The sequence below is a fragment of the Homo sapiens genome, chromosome X (assembly GCF_000001405.40).
Source record: "Homo sapiens chromosome X, GRCh38.p14 Primary Assembly".
NCBI classification, from domain to species: Eukaryota; Metazoa; Chordata; class Mammalia; order Primates; family Hominidae; genus Homo; species Homo sapiens.
The window spans coordinates 134,596,511-134,613,194 of NC_000023.11; the positions used below are offsets into that span (position 1 = coordinate 134,596,511).

General features: G+C 41.4%; 1 protein-coding gene and 1 pseudogene across 7 annotated transcripts in view, besides 1 other annotated feature; one reads left to right on the forward strand and one right to left on the reverse strand.

Moving 5' to 3' along the window:
- Positions 1 to 16,684, reverse strand: part of PLAC1 (placenta enriched 1) — a 198,485-nt gene that overhangs the window by 30,673 nt on the left and 151,128 nt on the right. For 5 of the 7 annotated variants that reach the window (XM_011531257.3, NM_001316887.2, NM_001316888.2 and 2 more), the window contains one exon: positions 5,541 to 5,612. The exons of the other annotated variants lie outside the window; for them this stretch is intronic. The gene's annotated coding sequence lies outside the window, so the exon portion shown is untranslated. The remainder of the gene's footprint in view (positions 1 to 5,540; positions 5,613 to 16,684) is intronic. 7 annotated transcript variants of the gene reach the window in all.
- Positions 7,446 to 8,645: an enhancer, noted in NCBI's record as "MED14-independent group 3 enhancer chrX:133737986-133739185 (GRCh37/hg19 assembly coordinates)". NCBI's record gives its function as "activates an origin of replication core promoter dependent on BRD2, BRD4, P300/CBP and CDK7 cofactors, and independent of MED14, by STARR-seq in HCT116 cells {active_cell/tissue: HCT116}" and the evidence as "EXISTENCE:reporter gene assay evidence [ECO:0000049][PMID:35650434]".
- On the forward strand, positions 10,602 to 11,161 carry RPL21P133 (ribosomal protein L21 pseudogene 133; annotated as a pseudogene).

A 16,684-nucleotide genomic window follows, 5' to 3' on the forward strand; every position in this document is an offset into this window, starting at 1 on the left:
CCAATTCCTTCTGGTCACATGGTTTCTGATGAGAAATCAACTGCCATTTAAATAATTGTTTATCAGTTTCTCTGTCAAATTATTGTTTTTCTTTTCTTTTTTGAGACAGAGCCTCACTCTGTGACTCAGGCTGAAGTTCAGTGTGGCATGATCATGGCTCACTGCAGCCTCTACCTCCCTGGGCTCAGTGATCCTCCTACTTGAGCCTCTCGAGTAGCTGGGACTACAGGTGTGCACCACCACACCTGGCTAATTTTTGTACTTTTTGCAGAGATGGGGTTTCACCATGTTGTCCAGGCTGGTCTCAAACTCCTGGGCTCAAGCAATCCACCCGCCTTGGCCCCCAAAACTGCTGGGATTATAGGCACGAGCCACTCTGCTTGGCCAAATCATTGTTTTTCCTCTGTCTGCTTTCAAGATTGTTTTCTTTGTCTTTAGTTTTCAGAAGTTTGACTATGATATGTCTTAGTGTGGATTTCTTTGGGTTTAGCATGTTTGAGATTCTCTAAGCTTTTTGAATCTGTATGTCTTTTGCCAAATTTGGAAAATTTTCAGCCATTATTCCTTGAAATACTTTTCAGTCCTAGTCTCCTCCTCTCATCCCAGGACTCCAATGACATGAATGTTATATCTTTTGTAATAATTCTACAGGTCCCTGAGACTGTTATTTTTTTCCAGTCTATTTGCTCTCTGCATAATTTCTGTTGTTATATACTCAAGTTCACCGATTTTTTTCCTTTGTCCCCTCCATTCTGTTGTTCACCCTATTCACTGAGATTTTCATTTTGGTTATTGTGTTTTTCAGTTCTAAAGTCTACATTTGGTTCTTTATGTATTCTTATTTGCTTACTGAGACTTTCCGTTTTTATTTGTTCCAAGCATGTTTGTAATTGCTCATTGAAGCATTTTTATGATAGCTGTTTCAAAATCTTTGTCAGATAATTCTATCTCATCATCTTAGTATTGGCATGAATTGACTGTCTTTTTCACTCAGTTTGAAATCTTCCTGGTTCTTGGTATGATGAATGATTTTCAACTGAATACTGTTCATTTTGGATATTATGTCATGAGACTCTGGATCTTATTTAAACCTTAGGTTTTAGTGGTTTTTTTCTGACATTGCTCTAGTAGAAAAAACTGGAAGGGTTGCCTTGTTACTGCCAAATTGGGGTAGAAGTTCAGGCTCACCACTCAGCCTTTGCATGGACAGTTGGAGGTGAGGGTTGCAGTTTTTCCTGTGGTGTTTGGCTATAGTAGAGCAGTAATGGTCTAAAAGTTTTCTGTCTTTCTAGGATGCCCCTTTTCTGGTCCTTTGGCTAGAGAGAGTAGGCTTTTGTTGGGACTTTAGAAAAATCTGTTCCCACTGGTGTTTCTGAATTGCTAGCTTCTCTAGCAGCCAGTCTGGGATATTTGAGGCAAAAAGAAAGCTCAGGGAACTCACGAACTCATGTCACTCTTTGAGTCTCAAGGTCCTTAGTCAGTCTATCTTCTCTCCACCTTTCTTGGTTGTCTTATGTTTGTTGTATATATAATAACTAGGGTTTATAGTTGTACTTAGTGAAAGGAATAGGGAAAAGTACATCTACTCCATCTTTCTAAAAGCAGAAGTTGACTTTTAGGATCCCACGTCTCTGATTAGTTATTAGATCTCATTACTTATCTCTGAAGGTATGGTGTTAAAAACTCACATTTTAATACGTTGTCTTTGTTGAATGAGTGGATCATACTCGTGTAGCTTGTGAGATGTTGAAGCAGAACTATAGACTAAAGTGTCCCCTGAGCTGAGCTCGTCAGCTGCTGAACTGGTGACAGATTCCTTGAGTCTGTACTGCTCTTTAACTAACAGATCTTCAGTATGTGCCCAGAACTGCACTGGGTGTTTAAGAAACTATGAAGAAAGATGTGGCCTCGACTCTCAGGGTATTTGATGTCTATATGGGAAAACAAGAAAAGTGAATTCTCCATTTCAGGGTGTAGAATATAGTAGACACTCAATACATGCTTGTTGCATGAGTGAATGCTGCTGAGCACATGCTAATTGCCCCTGAATGACAAGTGCTAAACTAAACTGTGTGATGCAGATTAAAAGTGCTGTATGAAGCCAGAAGAGAGGCAGCAGTATGGCTGAAGTGGTCGAGAAGGGTTGTTTTTTTAAGGAGGTAGAGGTTGAGTTTCCTTGACAATATGTTAGGACCTGGCGGTAGTTTTTGAAGGAAAAAATTGACAGGACTTGTTAACAGACTGTTTGTGGGGGATGAAATTCAGTAAAAAGCAAAACAGACTTTGGTTCAGATCCTGGGTGACAGGGAGATGAGGGAAACACCATGAGTTTGACTTTGTACCTGATTAGCTTGAGCTGTTAGCAAAACATCCAAGCACAAGTACACAGTAAGTATTTGGAATATTTGGAGCTGAAGGAAAGATTATACTAGAAAAACCCATCTTTTCACTTGAGAGTTTCCAGAAGATATGGGAACTATCACAACTTAGCAGCCAACAAATGATGTGAGCTAAGATAGTTAATAACCCCTCTCTGGGCTTTAGTTTCCTCATGTATAAAATGAGGTGCGATGGTAGGTGGTTTTTTATGAGATAACATTTGGATTAGCATAGTATCTGGTATTTGGAAGGAGCCCTATACTTGCTGGAATATTTTCCTTCCAGATCTAAAGGTCTAGGATTGTGTGATTTCTTTGAAATATGAACTGTCCTTAATACATCTGCTGATATGGTTTGGCTGTGTCACCACCGAAATCTCATGTTGAATTGTAGTTCTCATAATCTCCAAGTGTCGTGGGAGGGACCTGGTGGGAGGTAATTGAATCATGGGGGTGCCTACACTCATGCTGTTCTCGTGATAGTGAGTGAGTTCTTACAGGATCTGATGGTTTTATAAGAGGCTTTTCTCTCTTTTACTCAGCACTTCTCTCTCCTGCCACCACATGAAGAAAGACATGTTTGCTTCCCCTTCCGCCATGAGTGTAAGTTTCCTGAGGCCTCCCCAGCCATGTGGAACTGTGAGTCAATTAAACCTTTTTCCTTTATAAATTACCCAGGCTTGGGTATTTCTGCAGAGCAGCATGAGAACAGACTAATATATCTGCCTTCTATGATTGGGTTTTTCCCCCAGCAGAGCCCAACAGTTTATATCACGTGAAGCTAAGAATCTAGGGGAGGGAGAGTTGTACATGTTATGTCTCAATCTTTTCAGACTTCCTAAGTTTTTCTATCTTTTGAGCATTTGCATTTTTCATGTTTGAATCAGAAAAGCCTCCATTTTGGCTGACTCTAGCCCTTCACTCTGGGGAGTAGAATGGGCAGGTAGCCATTAGTACACAGGAAGGGAGGGATTTGTGGTATCTTAAAGCCATTGGATTTTATTTATTTCCAGTTTGCTCAACATTTGTTCCACAGATCTGGAAAGTTTAAAAAGGGGTGGGGATGGAGAGAAAAGGATGAAAATTAACTAGGCCTAGAGAAAAGGATAAACATATTTTCCTTTCAATATCAAACTAAGGCTCAGAGCATTATTATTATTATTATTATTGAAATAATAATAGGCTGGAGTGCAGTGGCATGATCACAGCTCACTGCAGCCTTGAACTCCTGGGCTCAAGCGATCTTCCTGCCTCAGCCTCCTGAGTAGCTCGGACTACAGGCATATACCACCATGTCTGACTTATTTTTCACATTTTTTTCTTTGTTGAAATGGGGTCTTCCTATGTTGCCCAGGCTGGTCTGGAACTTCTGACCTCAAGCAATCCTCCCACCTCAGCCTCCAGAGTAGCTGGGACTACATGTGCATGTCACCAGACCTGGCTAATTTTTTAAATTTTTTGTATAATGAGGTTTTGCCACGTTGCCCAGGCTGGTCTTGAACACCTAGGCTTAAGTGAGCCACCCACCTTGGCCTCCCAAAGTGGTGGGATTACAGGCATGAGCCACTGTACCCCACCCCTCAGAGCATTTAAATCTGAAATGGCTTCTGGGCTTTATTTAATTTTTCTAAAAACTGACCACTGCCGTAACCATCCACATGTCATCTGAAGAGTTGACACTGAGTTCAAGAGTTTGAGGCTACAGTGAGCTATGATCAGCCCACCGCACTCTAGCATGGGCAACAGAGTGAGACCCGATCTCATTTTTTTTTTTTTTAAGGATGAAGATTTGACACTAGTTGGAGAAATGGTTCTACATCTCATTACTAGGATTTTATGAATGTCAGCCCTCTAGCATAAGTAGTAGTTACTTCTTTCAAATTAAAAAAATTTGGATTTTAAAGTAAGATAAGCTCATTACAAAAATAAGAAAATGAAAATGACTCATAATCCCACAACGTAGGGATAATTATAGCTTTGTGGTTTGTTGTTTAGGGACATGGTCACCCAGGCTGGAGCACGGTGGTGCAATCACAGCTCACTGCAGCCTCAAACTTCAAAGGATCCTCACATCTCAGCCTGCTGAGTAGGTAGGACCACAGGCATGTGCCACCATGGCTGGCTAATCATTGTTAATATTTCTATTATTTCTTTCTAGTCATTTTTTTTCTTCACACACACACACACACACACACACACACACAAACACACTTGGGATTTCACTGTATGTTTGTGTATCCTCCTTTCCCCCACTTAAGTTAGACCATGAGCATTTACTCATGTCATTAAATATTCTTCTAAACATGATTTTAAATAATTACATTGCATTTCATAGTATAAATGTTACTGCATAGGATTTCATAGTATGGACAACTTAAGTTTTTTCCACTTTTTCTCTATTTTAAATATTGCCACAATGAATTTCCATGTATTTGTATTTTTTTGTGCATCTCTATTTCCTTTTAGGATAAATCCTTAGAAGGAGAATTACTGGGTGAAAGGATAAGAACATTGTTAAGGCTTTCGAGCATTTTGCCAAGTTGCCCTGTGGGAGAGTTGTACCAATTTGCATTCCTATTAGTGTTTGAGAATGCCTGACTCACTGCATTAACACAGAATATTTTACCATCATATATACATGACACTCTTTTGGATCATTTCAATTCAAATGGCATTTAGTGAGCACCTACTATATGTAGTGTACTGTGCTAGGCATTAGACTCTCTCCTGTTATACAGCATAAGTGCTAGAGGCATAACACATGTACAAAGATGGTTAAAAATGCAAATGAAATATAACAACACATAAATCTCTATGGCCAGGGCTGACATCATTCAGCCTTTAAATGGCTACTCATTGAGTAAAGACACTATGCTAGCTAATTTAAAAATTAATTTAGATCTTGTAAGCACTTAAAAAACCAGAATGCATTAATATGAATCTTGCAAACAATAGAGGTTCCATTGTGATCACTTACACTCTATTTCCTGGTATAAATTAGAGTAGGAATGGAGAGGAATATTACAAATCCACATCTTTAAAAAAATCAACAATCACAACTCATTTGGGTAAAAGGACAATTTCTGCTTTTGTCAGTTCCCTTTAGAAAGTTAACCTGTTGGTTATCAGAGAAGGGGGACACTGAACACACAGAAAACTAACCTTCTTCTGGCAGCTGGGGATAATTTGTCAGTTTCCTTTGAAATGTGGCTTTGTGCTCACTGGTGAAGGCAGCTGGAACAGAAAAAGCATGACAGACAAAAGCTGAAATCCACATGAAGAAAGGTCTTTTTCCCAAAAACTACTGCCTGAGTTAGCAACGGTCAGAACAGAAAGTACATGCGTATCTTCCCAGCAACAAGCATATCTGGTACTAGAGAAGGCCCCCTATGTGACAGGAGGCATTTAGAATGGCTGTAGCCTTGAATAGGGCTGCTGGACAGCATTTGAGCAAACCTTCCCAACCCCATGAAAAATCACACCCTCAAATTAAATCCGTCTAAAACTGTGACTAAAGAAATGAAAGTATTATGTTTTTCAATCAGTCCAAAGCATTTACTATTCTGAAAAAGAAGACCTACTTACTATATAGTGGATGATGGTGCAAGAAGTAGAGGTTTCAGTATATGATTTTCAGTTAAAAAGTAACCAATAGAATAACTAAAAATAATGCTATCAAACTGGAAACAACTGAAATGGTCTGCAACTGGTGAATGGATAAGCTGTGGTACATCCATGCAGTGGAGTACTATTCAGCAATACAAAAGAATGAACAACACATACATGAATCTCAAAATAGTTATACTGAGTGAAAGAAGTCAGTATCAAAGGGTTATATAGTATATGATTCAATTTCTGGGCATTCTGGAAAAGACAAAATTGTAGCAACAAAACAGATCAGTGTAGGGGGTAAAGGGAGAAGCCAATTACAAAGGGCAGCATGAGGGGATTTGGGGGGTAATGGAACTGTTCTATATCATGATTGTGGTGGCAGTTACATGACTTTATGTATTTGCCTAAACTCATAGAGCTGTACACCAAAAAAGTAAATTTTTAAAATAGCATGCTATTTTAAAAAGTGAATTTTTAAAAATCTCATAAAATATTGCTATCAACCATGGGGAGGCAGAAGAAAGAGAGGCAGTTGGGAGTAATGTTAAGTGAGCTAAATCTTCCATTTTTATAACAGGAGTTAATAGATAATGTCCAAAATGGATAAATCAAGAATGGGAACAGAGTAATATTTAGAGATTCAGAAGTAACTATCAGATGAATTGCCAACAGAATCTGTTAAAAAATGGTTGCCTCTGAGGAGTGGGACTGGGGATGGGGAGGAGTGGGGCAGAGAACTGTTGTTTTTTATTATCAGCTCTCTGTATTTTATATATATATATATATATATATATATATATATATATATATATATTTTTTTTTTTTTTTTTTTTTTTTTTTTTTTTTTTCTTTTTTGAGACAGAGTCTTGCTCTGTCACCCAGGCTGGAGTGCAGTGGCATGATCTCCACTCACTGCAAGCTCCACCTCCCAGGTTCACGCCATTCTCCTGCCTCAGCCTCCCGAGTAGCTGGGACTACAGGTGCCCGCCACCACGCCTGGGTATTTTGTATTTTTAGTAGAGATGGGGTTTCACCGTGTTAGCCAGGATGGTCTCGATCCCCTGACCTCGTGATCCACCCGCCTCAGCCTCCCAAAGTGCTGGGATTACAGGTGTGAGCAACCGCACCCAGCTGCCTATTTGATATTTTTAAACCATGCTCATGTATTACTTGATTTAAAAATAAATGTAGTGGAAAATGCACTGGACTGGGAATCCAGAAACCTGATCTCTAACCCTAATTCTGCACTAATTGATCAAATCCCTTCCCCTTTCTGGACCTTGGTTTCTACATCTGTATGATAAAGGGGTTGGACTATACGATGTTTAAGGTCCCTTTCATACCTAAAGAAAATTATAAAATTAGATTACTTACATATCCACAATTCTTTGTTAAATGCCAAGCTATGAAACATGCATTTTTATTTTTAAAGCCGTAAGAGACTAACTCATCAAATTCAACTGTCTCTTTTCAACTGCTGAAGAAACCAAGACACAGATTCACTAAAAGATTCACTTGGAATGACAGTTAATTGGCAACAGAGCTAGGACTAGAGCTCAGGGCTCCTCATGGCTCTTTCTGTTGCACCACACAGCTTCTCCTAGGCCTAATGGAATCAGTCCTGGGCACCAGGGCTGACAAAAATTCCCTTGGACAACACCAGGGGTGTAATTCACATGCTGAAATGGTTTCATTGGCCTGGGAGATGAGTCAGAATTTTGGAAGTGGTCCCTGACATAAGCATGTATGATGCAATACCATAGGCATTCCAAAGTTGATCAAGGCTATGTTAAAATTCCAATTTTAGGATTCCATTCCCTAATAATTGTCCAATAAGCTGCCCTTGGCAGCTACTGCCAGCCTACTGACTTCCCCTTTTGTGTGACAGGAATCCCACTACTCAGAAATATCACCATTCACATTCTGATGTAAAACAATGGGCTCATCCGTTTTTTCTCATCAGCCTTTCATCTCTAGGGCCTCTCAGCTTGTGGCATGATTCACTGAAATACATCAAACATGACAGAAGATGCAAGCATTTGGAAACTTACATCAGCCATCATCAAATTAAAAAGGTATCTTGATATGATTTAGCAATCATCCTTGGAAGAGAGTTGAAACAGACCCCTGACTTTGACCACACCATCTTCCTAGGGAAGACCTTCCATGTTGACCAGTAAGCAAGCTAAAAGTATGTGTTTTGCCAACCATTTCCTCCCCCTTTGCTGGGGCCTGCAGGCTCACTTGCCCCTCATCGCACAAGGTCTGGGGTTTACAGAATAAGGACACCATTATGCAGGGCTATCATTCTTCCTTAGTGGAAACAACACTGCCCTTTGTAAGCTCCCAGCTAACTTCAAAGGGTGTGGCTATCTTTCTGTGCTCCAAGGGAAGCCTCCTCGGGAAACATTGCTCACAGTGCCTTTCCAGTTCTAGAATCTTCTTGAGCTGATAGTCAGAGCAGGCATTTTCAGGCAGCACCCCCACCCCTGCACCCCCCATTGGTGCTTTGTCTACTTTAGAGGCCAGATTGTGTTTTTTAAAACCTACTTGGAAAGCATTTGTTTGCCAACTTTTGTGCTCCCCTCCTATCAGTGCTCCCTCTCCAGCCTGGCTTTCTGCCCAGTTCTGAATCTTGCCTTACCTACTGCCTGGCGTTTACTTCACAACAGCTGGCCCAGGGATCTCAAGTACTTAGTCTCAGCTGCCAGCTTAGGGAAGGAGAGGCCCCTGTAGTTGAGCCTGTGACAAAGACAGCATTTGTTTCCACACCGGTATTTTCAATGTCAACAGCAGTGACAGGCTCCAAAGGGGATCATACCCAGTCACTGCCCACTTGGTGAGAACTCCACAAGCTCAGGGATGTCCATTCATCCAGCTTCAGCTCTCCCCGCAATGCTATGAGATGACTAGAGACCACTAATAAGATTCCCATTTTTATTTGCCCATGGGGAAAGGAGACAAATGGCTGGAGACTGGGGGACTCGTCTAAAGGAATTAATGATCATTTTGTTCACAAGAAGAATCAGGATAGCTGAGTCTGACAAATGTTGGTTTCTGTGATTTATCCATTTGTGTAGCTAAAAAGTGCTATCAGCTGGCTTGCTCATCATTGAGTGACCTGAAGTGATGGATGATGGAGAGGAGGTTGCTGTGAGGGTAGAGGTGGCTCAGTACCCTGCAGGAGCAATGCAAAGAGAGACTGTGCCCAAGACCATCTCCCCGGGGGGGATGGGTGGCATTCCTGCCTTCCTTCCACCAACAAATGTTGACTGTGCCATGCACTGGGATGACAGAGATGACTCAGATGTGCCCTTGTCCTCAATGTGTTCATGGTTGGATGAGGAGAACACCAGTCTTACTCTAGTGACTGAAGGCTAAGACAAAGACTCCAGCCTCAAACTTGAGGAAGGAAGTTCATGTTTCTTCCTGGGTTGGCCAATAGAAAGTGGTATTTGTGGCCGGGCATGGTGGCTCACGCTTGTAATCCCAGCACTTTGGGAAGCCGAGGCGGGTGGATCACGAGGTCAAGAGATCAAGACCATCCTGGCCAATATGGTGAAACCCTGTCTCTACTAGAGATACAAAAAAATTAGCTGGGTGTGGTGGCATGCACCTGTAGTCCCAGCTACTCAGGAGGCTGAGGCAGGAGAATCGCTTGATCCTGGGAGGCGGAGGCTGCAGTGAGCCAAAATCGCACCACTGCACTCCAGCCCGGGTGACAGAGTGAGACTCCATCTCAAAAAAAAAAAAAAGTTGTATTTGTGTAGTTTTTCTAACTGTAGTGATGTGCGTGTGCTGAATTACTCACTTGGATTCTCCTCCTTGAGAGTAGGGTTCATTTTGTCACTAATCTGGCTAGATTGCTTATCATAATGCTTAAAAATATAGCTTTAAACATACAAGTGGCCAATAAACATGTGAAAAAAACACTCAACATCACTAATCAGAGAAACACAAATTAAAACCACAATGAGATACCATCTTACACCAGTCAGAATGGCTATAATTAAAAAGAAAAATAGATGTTGGTGAGGATGTGGAGAAAAGGGAATGCTTATGTACTGTTGGTTAGAATGTAAATTAGCACAACTTAAGGAAAACAGTAGGGATAGTTCTGAAAGAACAAAAAATAGAAATGTCATTTGATCCATTCTCAAAGAACTAAAATTAGAAATATCATTCGATCCAGGAGTCCCACTACTGGGTATCTACCTACAGGGAAATAAATCATTATATGACAAAGATACTTGCACTCATGTTTATCACTGCACTATTCACAATAGCAAAGATAATGGAACCAACCTAAGCGTCCATCAGTGGTGGATTGGATAAAGAAAATATGGTAGCTATACATCATGGAACACTACCCAGCCATAAAAAAGAATGAAATCATGTGTTTTGCAGAAAATTGCCTATTGTGTACAATGTTCACTATTCGAGTGATGAGTACATCAAAAGCCCAAACTCCACCATGGTACAATATATGCATGTAGGAAGTCTGCACTTGTACCCTCTACATCTGTACAAAATATTTTAAAATATAGCTTCAAGATGTAATTAAAGTCACATATCAGCTGATTTTGAGTTAATAAAAAAGACAGATGATCACTTTTGGCCAGAACCACCATCTTCTAGTATTTTGCCAAAATAATGAACACAAAGGGAAAGAGAAGAGGCACCCAATACGTGTTCTCTAGGCCTTTTAGAGAACGTGGGTTCATTCCTTTGGCCACATACCTGTGAATCTACAAGAAAGGTGATATTGTAGACATCAAGGGAATGGGCACTGTTCAGAAAGGAATACCCCACAAATGTTTTCATGGCAAAACTGGAAGAGCCTACATTGTTACCCAGTGTGCTGTTGGCATTATTTTAAAAACACAAGGTTAAGATTCTTGCCAAGAGAATTAATGTGCATATTGAGCATATTAAGCACTTTATTAAGAGCCAAAAAATAGCATCCTGAATTGCATGAAGGAAACTGTTCAGAGAAAAAGGAAGCCAAAGAGAAAGGTACCTGGGTTCAACTGAAGCACCAGCCCGCTCCACCCAGAGAAGCACACTGTGCAAGAACCAGTGGGAAGGAGCCGGAGCTGCTGGAACCTACTCCGCATGAATTCATGGCATAATAGGTATATATGTAAAAAAAAAAAAAAGGCCTCTGGACTGTAACAAAACATAAAAAACATTATCTTGGGTGGGGCTGATGTAATCAAGTGAAAGCTATTAGCCCTCCCTGAAGAGAGACAGCATTTCCTGCTGGACATGAAGAAGCAAACAAGGTTGTGGAGAGAGGGGCAGCCTCCGGGAGGTGAGAGCCTCGGCACTAGAGCAGCAAGGAACTCAATTCTGTCAACAACCTGAACAACCTTGGATGCGGACCCCAAGCTCCAGATCTCCAGATGAGAATGCATCCTAGACAACACCTGGACTGCAGGCTCATGACACACTGAGCAGAGGACCCAGCTAAGCTGTGCCTGGACTGAACCATAAAAATGGAGACAACAAATGTGTATTCCTTCAAGCTGCAAAAGAAAAATACAAATATATATCTCCATATGATTATGTTTTGGTTGTTGAGTTTTTCTTTACAACAATAAAAGTAGTGCTATTTTCTTGTTCCTCAGTAAGTTAAACACAGAATTACCATATGACCCAGCAAGTCTATTCCTAGATACATATCCAATAGAATTGGAAATAGGTGTTCAAACAAAAACTTGTATCCCAAATGTTTAGCAGCACTATTGATAATAGCCAAGAGGTTGAAACAATCCAAATGTTCATCAGCTGATGAACGGACAAGCAAAATGTAGTCTATCAGTACAATGGAATATTATTCAGCCATAAAAAGGAATGAAGTGCTGATACATGCTACAATTTGGATAAACCTTGAGAACATTATGCTAAGTGAAAGCAGCCAGACACAAAAAGACTGCTATATGATCCCAGTTACATGAAATATCCAGAATGTTCACATCCACAGATACAGAAAATAGATCAGTGGTTATGTAGGGCAAGGAGGAGGGAACAACAGGGAGTGAGTACTTAAAGGGGCATAGGATTTCCTTTGGGATGATGAAAATGTTCTGGAAATAGTGGTGGTGGTTGGAGAACACTGTAAATGTGCTTTATTCCATCAAATTGTATCACTCTTCTTTTTCTTTTTTTCTTTTTTCTTTTTTTTTTTTTTTGAGATGGAGTCTTGCTCTGTCGCCAGGCTGGAGTGCAGTGGCGCCATCTCCGCTCACTGCAATCTCCGCCTCCCAGGTTCAAGTGATTCCCCTGCCTCAGCCTCCCGAGTAGCTGGGACTACAGGCACCCGCCACCATGTCCGGCTAATTTTTTATATTTTAGTAGAGACGGGGTTTCACCATGTTGGTCAGGATGGTCTGTACCTCCTGACCTCATGATTCACCCACCTCGGCCTCTTAAAATGCTGGGATTACAGGAGTGAGCCACCGTGCCCGGCCTCTTTTTCTTTTTTTAGAGACAGTGGTCTCACTCTCCCACCCAGGCTGGAGTGCAGTGGTGCAATCATGGCTCACTGTAGCCTTGACCTCCTGGGCTCAAATGATCCTCCTTCCTCAGCCTCTCAAAGTGTTAGGATTATAGGCATGAGCCACCACACCTGGCCTGTGGTGCCATTCTTTCTGCTAGTAATGTCATTGTCATCTCCCACCATGCCCTGGAAAGCGCATGCACACATACAGGGAAGCCATCTCATCCTCCCTCTTCAGGTCATGGGCCCCTCTTATATCTGTTCATAGCTCCTTCACTTCTTCATTAGCACCACATAACAACTGGAAATAACATCACTATTTATAAGATTATTTGTTCAATATCTGCCTTTTCCATTAGATTGTAAGCTACACGAAGGCAGGGATCATGTCTGCCTTGGTCACTGCTTAGAAGAGTGCCTGGCACATAGCAGGTACTCGGTAATTGTTTGCGGATTTTTCTTAAAGAATGAATAAAATATATTTTCTAACGTAATTCTGAGAGCCATCTGAGAAGCATAAACCATTCTTCTCTAACACTTTCAAAATGTAGGCAATCAGTTGAAGTAAATGGCCAGTGTCTTAGTCTGCTCAGGCCACCATAGCAAAAATATATACAACAGACATTGATTTCTCCCAGTTTTGGAAGCTGGAAAGTCCAAGATCAAGGTGTTGTCCAATTCAGTTCCTGGTGAAGGCCCTCTTCCTGCCTCACGTGGCCTTTCCTTGGTGCATCTGGGTGAAGAGAAAGTGAGGGAGTTCCAAGCTCTGGTCTTTTCCTCTTCTATAAAGGGCACAAATCCCAACACGGGGAACCCACCTTCATGACCTCATCTAAATCTAAGTACCTCCCTGAAGCCCCACCTCCAAATGCCATCACATTTCGGGTTAGAGTTTCAGTATGTGAATTTTGAGGAGACAAAGTTCAGTTCATAGTATAAGCATAGCAGCATTAAATAGACATTGTGCATCAGTGGAAGAAATTTTTTTTTTTTTTGAGACAGTCTCGCTCTGTCACCCAGGCTGGAGTGCAATGGCGCAATCTCAGCTCACTGCAACCTCTGCCTCCCAGGTTCAAGCGATCCTCATGCCTCAGCCTCCTGAGTAGCTGGGATTACAGGCGTGCGCCACCACACCCGGATAATTTTTATATTTTTAGTAGAGACGGGGTTTCACCATGTTGGCCAGGCTGGTCTTGAACTCCTGACCTCATGATCTACCTGCCTTGGCCTCCCAAAGTGCTGGGATTACAGGCGTGAGCCACCGCACCTGGCTGGAAGGGATCTTATTTGTGGGCAAGATGTTAGTGTTGATGCTTTCACTATACCTGGTCCCCCTCAACCCACCAATGGTGTCTCTTCACCTTTGGCTCCTGTACCTCCTAAAATCTCTTCTCGGCCATGGTTTTCCTAGGGTTCCAGTATCATTGCAAAGCTTCCAGGAAACTAGATGAGAACAGTTTTCCTTGGTCCCTAATTTAGACTAGTAATGTTAAATCCTCCCAGGAATCCTTGTCAACGTGGAGGGTCACTCTGGCTGCCTTTGCCATGCCCTGTGCTCAGTCCAGATACTTGCTGCTTGCTCCTTACCCATATGAATAAAACAAGGGCATTTTGCATTGGATAGCATAACAATCCATGCAGATCCCACAGCTCCAAAGCTGGTCGAGGGTGACAGGCTGGGGTGCCAGCAAGTAGGAGAGTGACAAGCTGGAGTTTCTGAACTGATATGACTACAACAACCAGTAATCCTGCCTCATGTAAACAAATTTATTTGAAATAATCCATGTTAAGATGTCTCATCCATCTTAAGCACTCAATAAATGTTAATTATTTTACTTTTGTTGAGGCAGGGTCTCACTCTGTTGCCCCGGCTAGAGTGCAGTGGTATGATCAAGGCTCATGCAAACCTCCACCTCCAAGGCTCAAGTGTTCCTCCTACCCCAGCCTTCTGAGTAGCTTATAGGCTTATAGGTGTGCATCCTCCTACCTCAGCCTTCTGAGTAGCTTATAGGATTATAGGTATGCACCACCATGGCTGGCTAATTTTTGTGTTTTTTTGTAGAGATGGGGTTTTGCCATGTTGCCCAGGGTGGTCTCGAACTCCTGGGCTCAAGTGATTTGCCCACCTTGACCTCCCAAAGTGCTGGGATTACAGGCATCAGCCACCACGCTTGGCCTATACTTTTATGATAAAGGTATTTTATACATCCTTAAAATTATGTTATTGAATACATCTAGGCATATAAGAAAGTTATTAAGTGAAAGGACATTACAAAGAATGTATACAGTGTCATCTCATTTTTATAAAAATGTAATTTATGTATGAGAGATATTGTATAGTACTTTACAGCTCAGGATCTGAAGGTAGGCCTATTTTTAAATCTGTGCACTATCACTTATTAGCTGTCTGACCTAGAGTAATTTCTAAACCTCTCTGAGTGCCTTAGTTTCTTTATCTGTAAAGTGGATATAGATATATAGATTATATATATAGATATATATATACACACACACACATACATATACATATGTATATATGCATATACACATATGTATATATATGCATATATACATATGTATATATATATGCATATATATTTGCAATGATATGCTTGCATATCTAGAAACCCAAGAGGTGTAACTGAATTAAAATTTCGCAAAAGAATGAATAAGAGTTCAATGCGGTAGTTAGATGCACAGTGGACAACCCAAAAATGAAAACTTTCCAGTGTGCCAGAAATAACGAGTTAAAAACTACCATGATAAAAAGGCACGAGACACAAGGCAGGTGTAGGTTTAGTGCAACGAGCTGGTTGTCTGCTCTGCCCAACTCTAGGTCACACTTGAACCCCTGGGCTTAGAAGCAGCTCCATGGGTGCTATGGTTTCTCAGGCCTGTCAGCCTCTGGCTCTTGGCCTTCTTGCACTCAAGGGACTCAAAGTCAAACTCCACTCCATCACCTCACCGTACTTGTTCTCTCTTCAGCCGAGATGTAATTGCTCCAATAGCAAACTAGTTTGCAGAAATGCTACTCTGCCTCCCTGGTAGATGACTTTGTATATCTTCCTCCTTGCAAAGCCATTTTTGCTTCTTGTACCACACCTGATTTCATTAGAAAGTATTTGCTTTAAATTTGCAGGGAGAAGAAACTTAAGTAGTTCTCACAAGGATGTTTTGCACAGTCATTAAGACTACAGTTCAAACCCCAGCTTTCCACCTATTAGCCACCTTGCCTTAATCAAGTCCCTCAACCTCTCTTCCCATCACTTTCCTTCTCTGTAAAATGGAGGACAACAATAGTACCTCACTTTTAAGGACACTGTGAAGATTAAATGAGATTATGTATGTAAAGCGTTTAGCACAGTGCCGGACACATAGGAAGCTCTCAATACATAGGAGATGCTATCATTAAAACAGGAAGAGTTTGTCCTAAATGAATATCAAATGTTTCATCTCTTATAAGCTAAAAACTACTTGCAGCAATTAAACAGGATTTCTCCACCCCTAGTTTCTATCCAGCAAAGTTTCAAACATGTCAGGGTCTTAGTTTTAGCCTGGGGCTCCCAAACACAATTGTGCAGATGTTTGTATATAAGGAAATATATCTATATAGAAACATACATAAGGAAATACACAGTCTCCATACAAGCCTCTCTAAGCCCTGGAGCCACAGGGCACTTCATCCAGCAAGGCAATTCAATCACAACAAAGTCATTTTTATATTCCTTTAAAGTTCGTAAAAACAAAATCCTCCTTTTCCAGCCAGATGAATGTATTGGTACCTTTGCTTTGCCCTGCCCCTGAGCCGGAGTAGCTGAATCTGTGCTGAATCCAGCCTCTAAGAGCAACCTTGGTCAAGTGCATGGACCCCCAGGGGGTCCTATTATCCCATTTGTACTTGAGGGTATATGGGGATTGGGCCAGGCATGGGTTTCTCAGGCACACATAGCAGGTAGAAATGATGCTTCAGAGCCTCAGAGGGGTCTCCACATGAAACCACCTCACTCATATTTCTGAAAGAAATGCTCAAATCTGAGATGGGTTGGGTGGCTAACACTGGTAACCCCAGCAACTCGGGAGGCTGAGTTGGGAGGATCACTTGAGCCTGGGAGTTCCAGATCAGCCTGAACAACATAGTGAGGCCCCATCTCCAAAATAAAAGGAAAAACCTCAAATCTGAGAAAGAAATGCA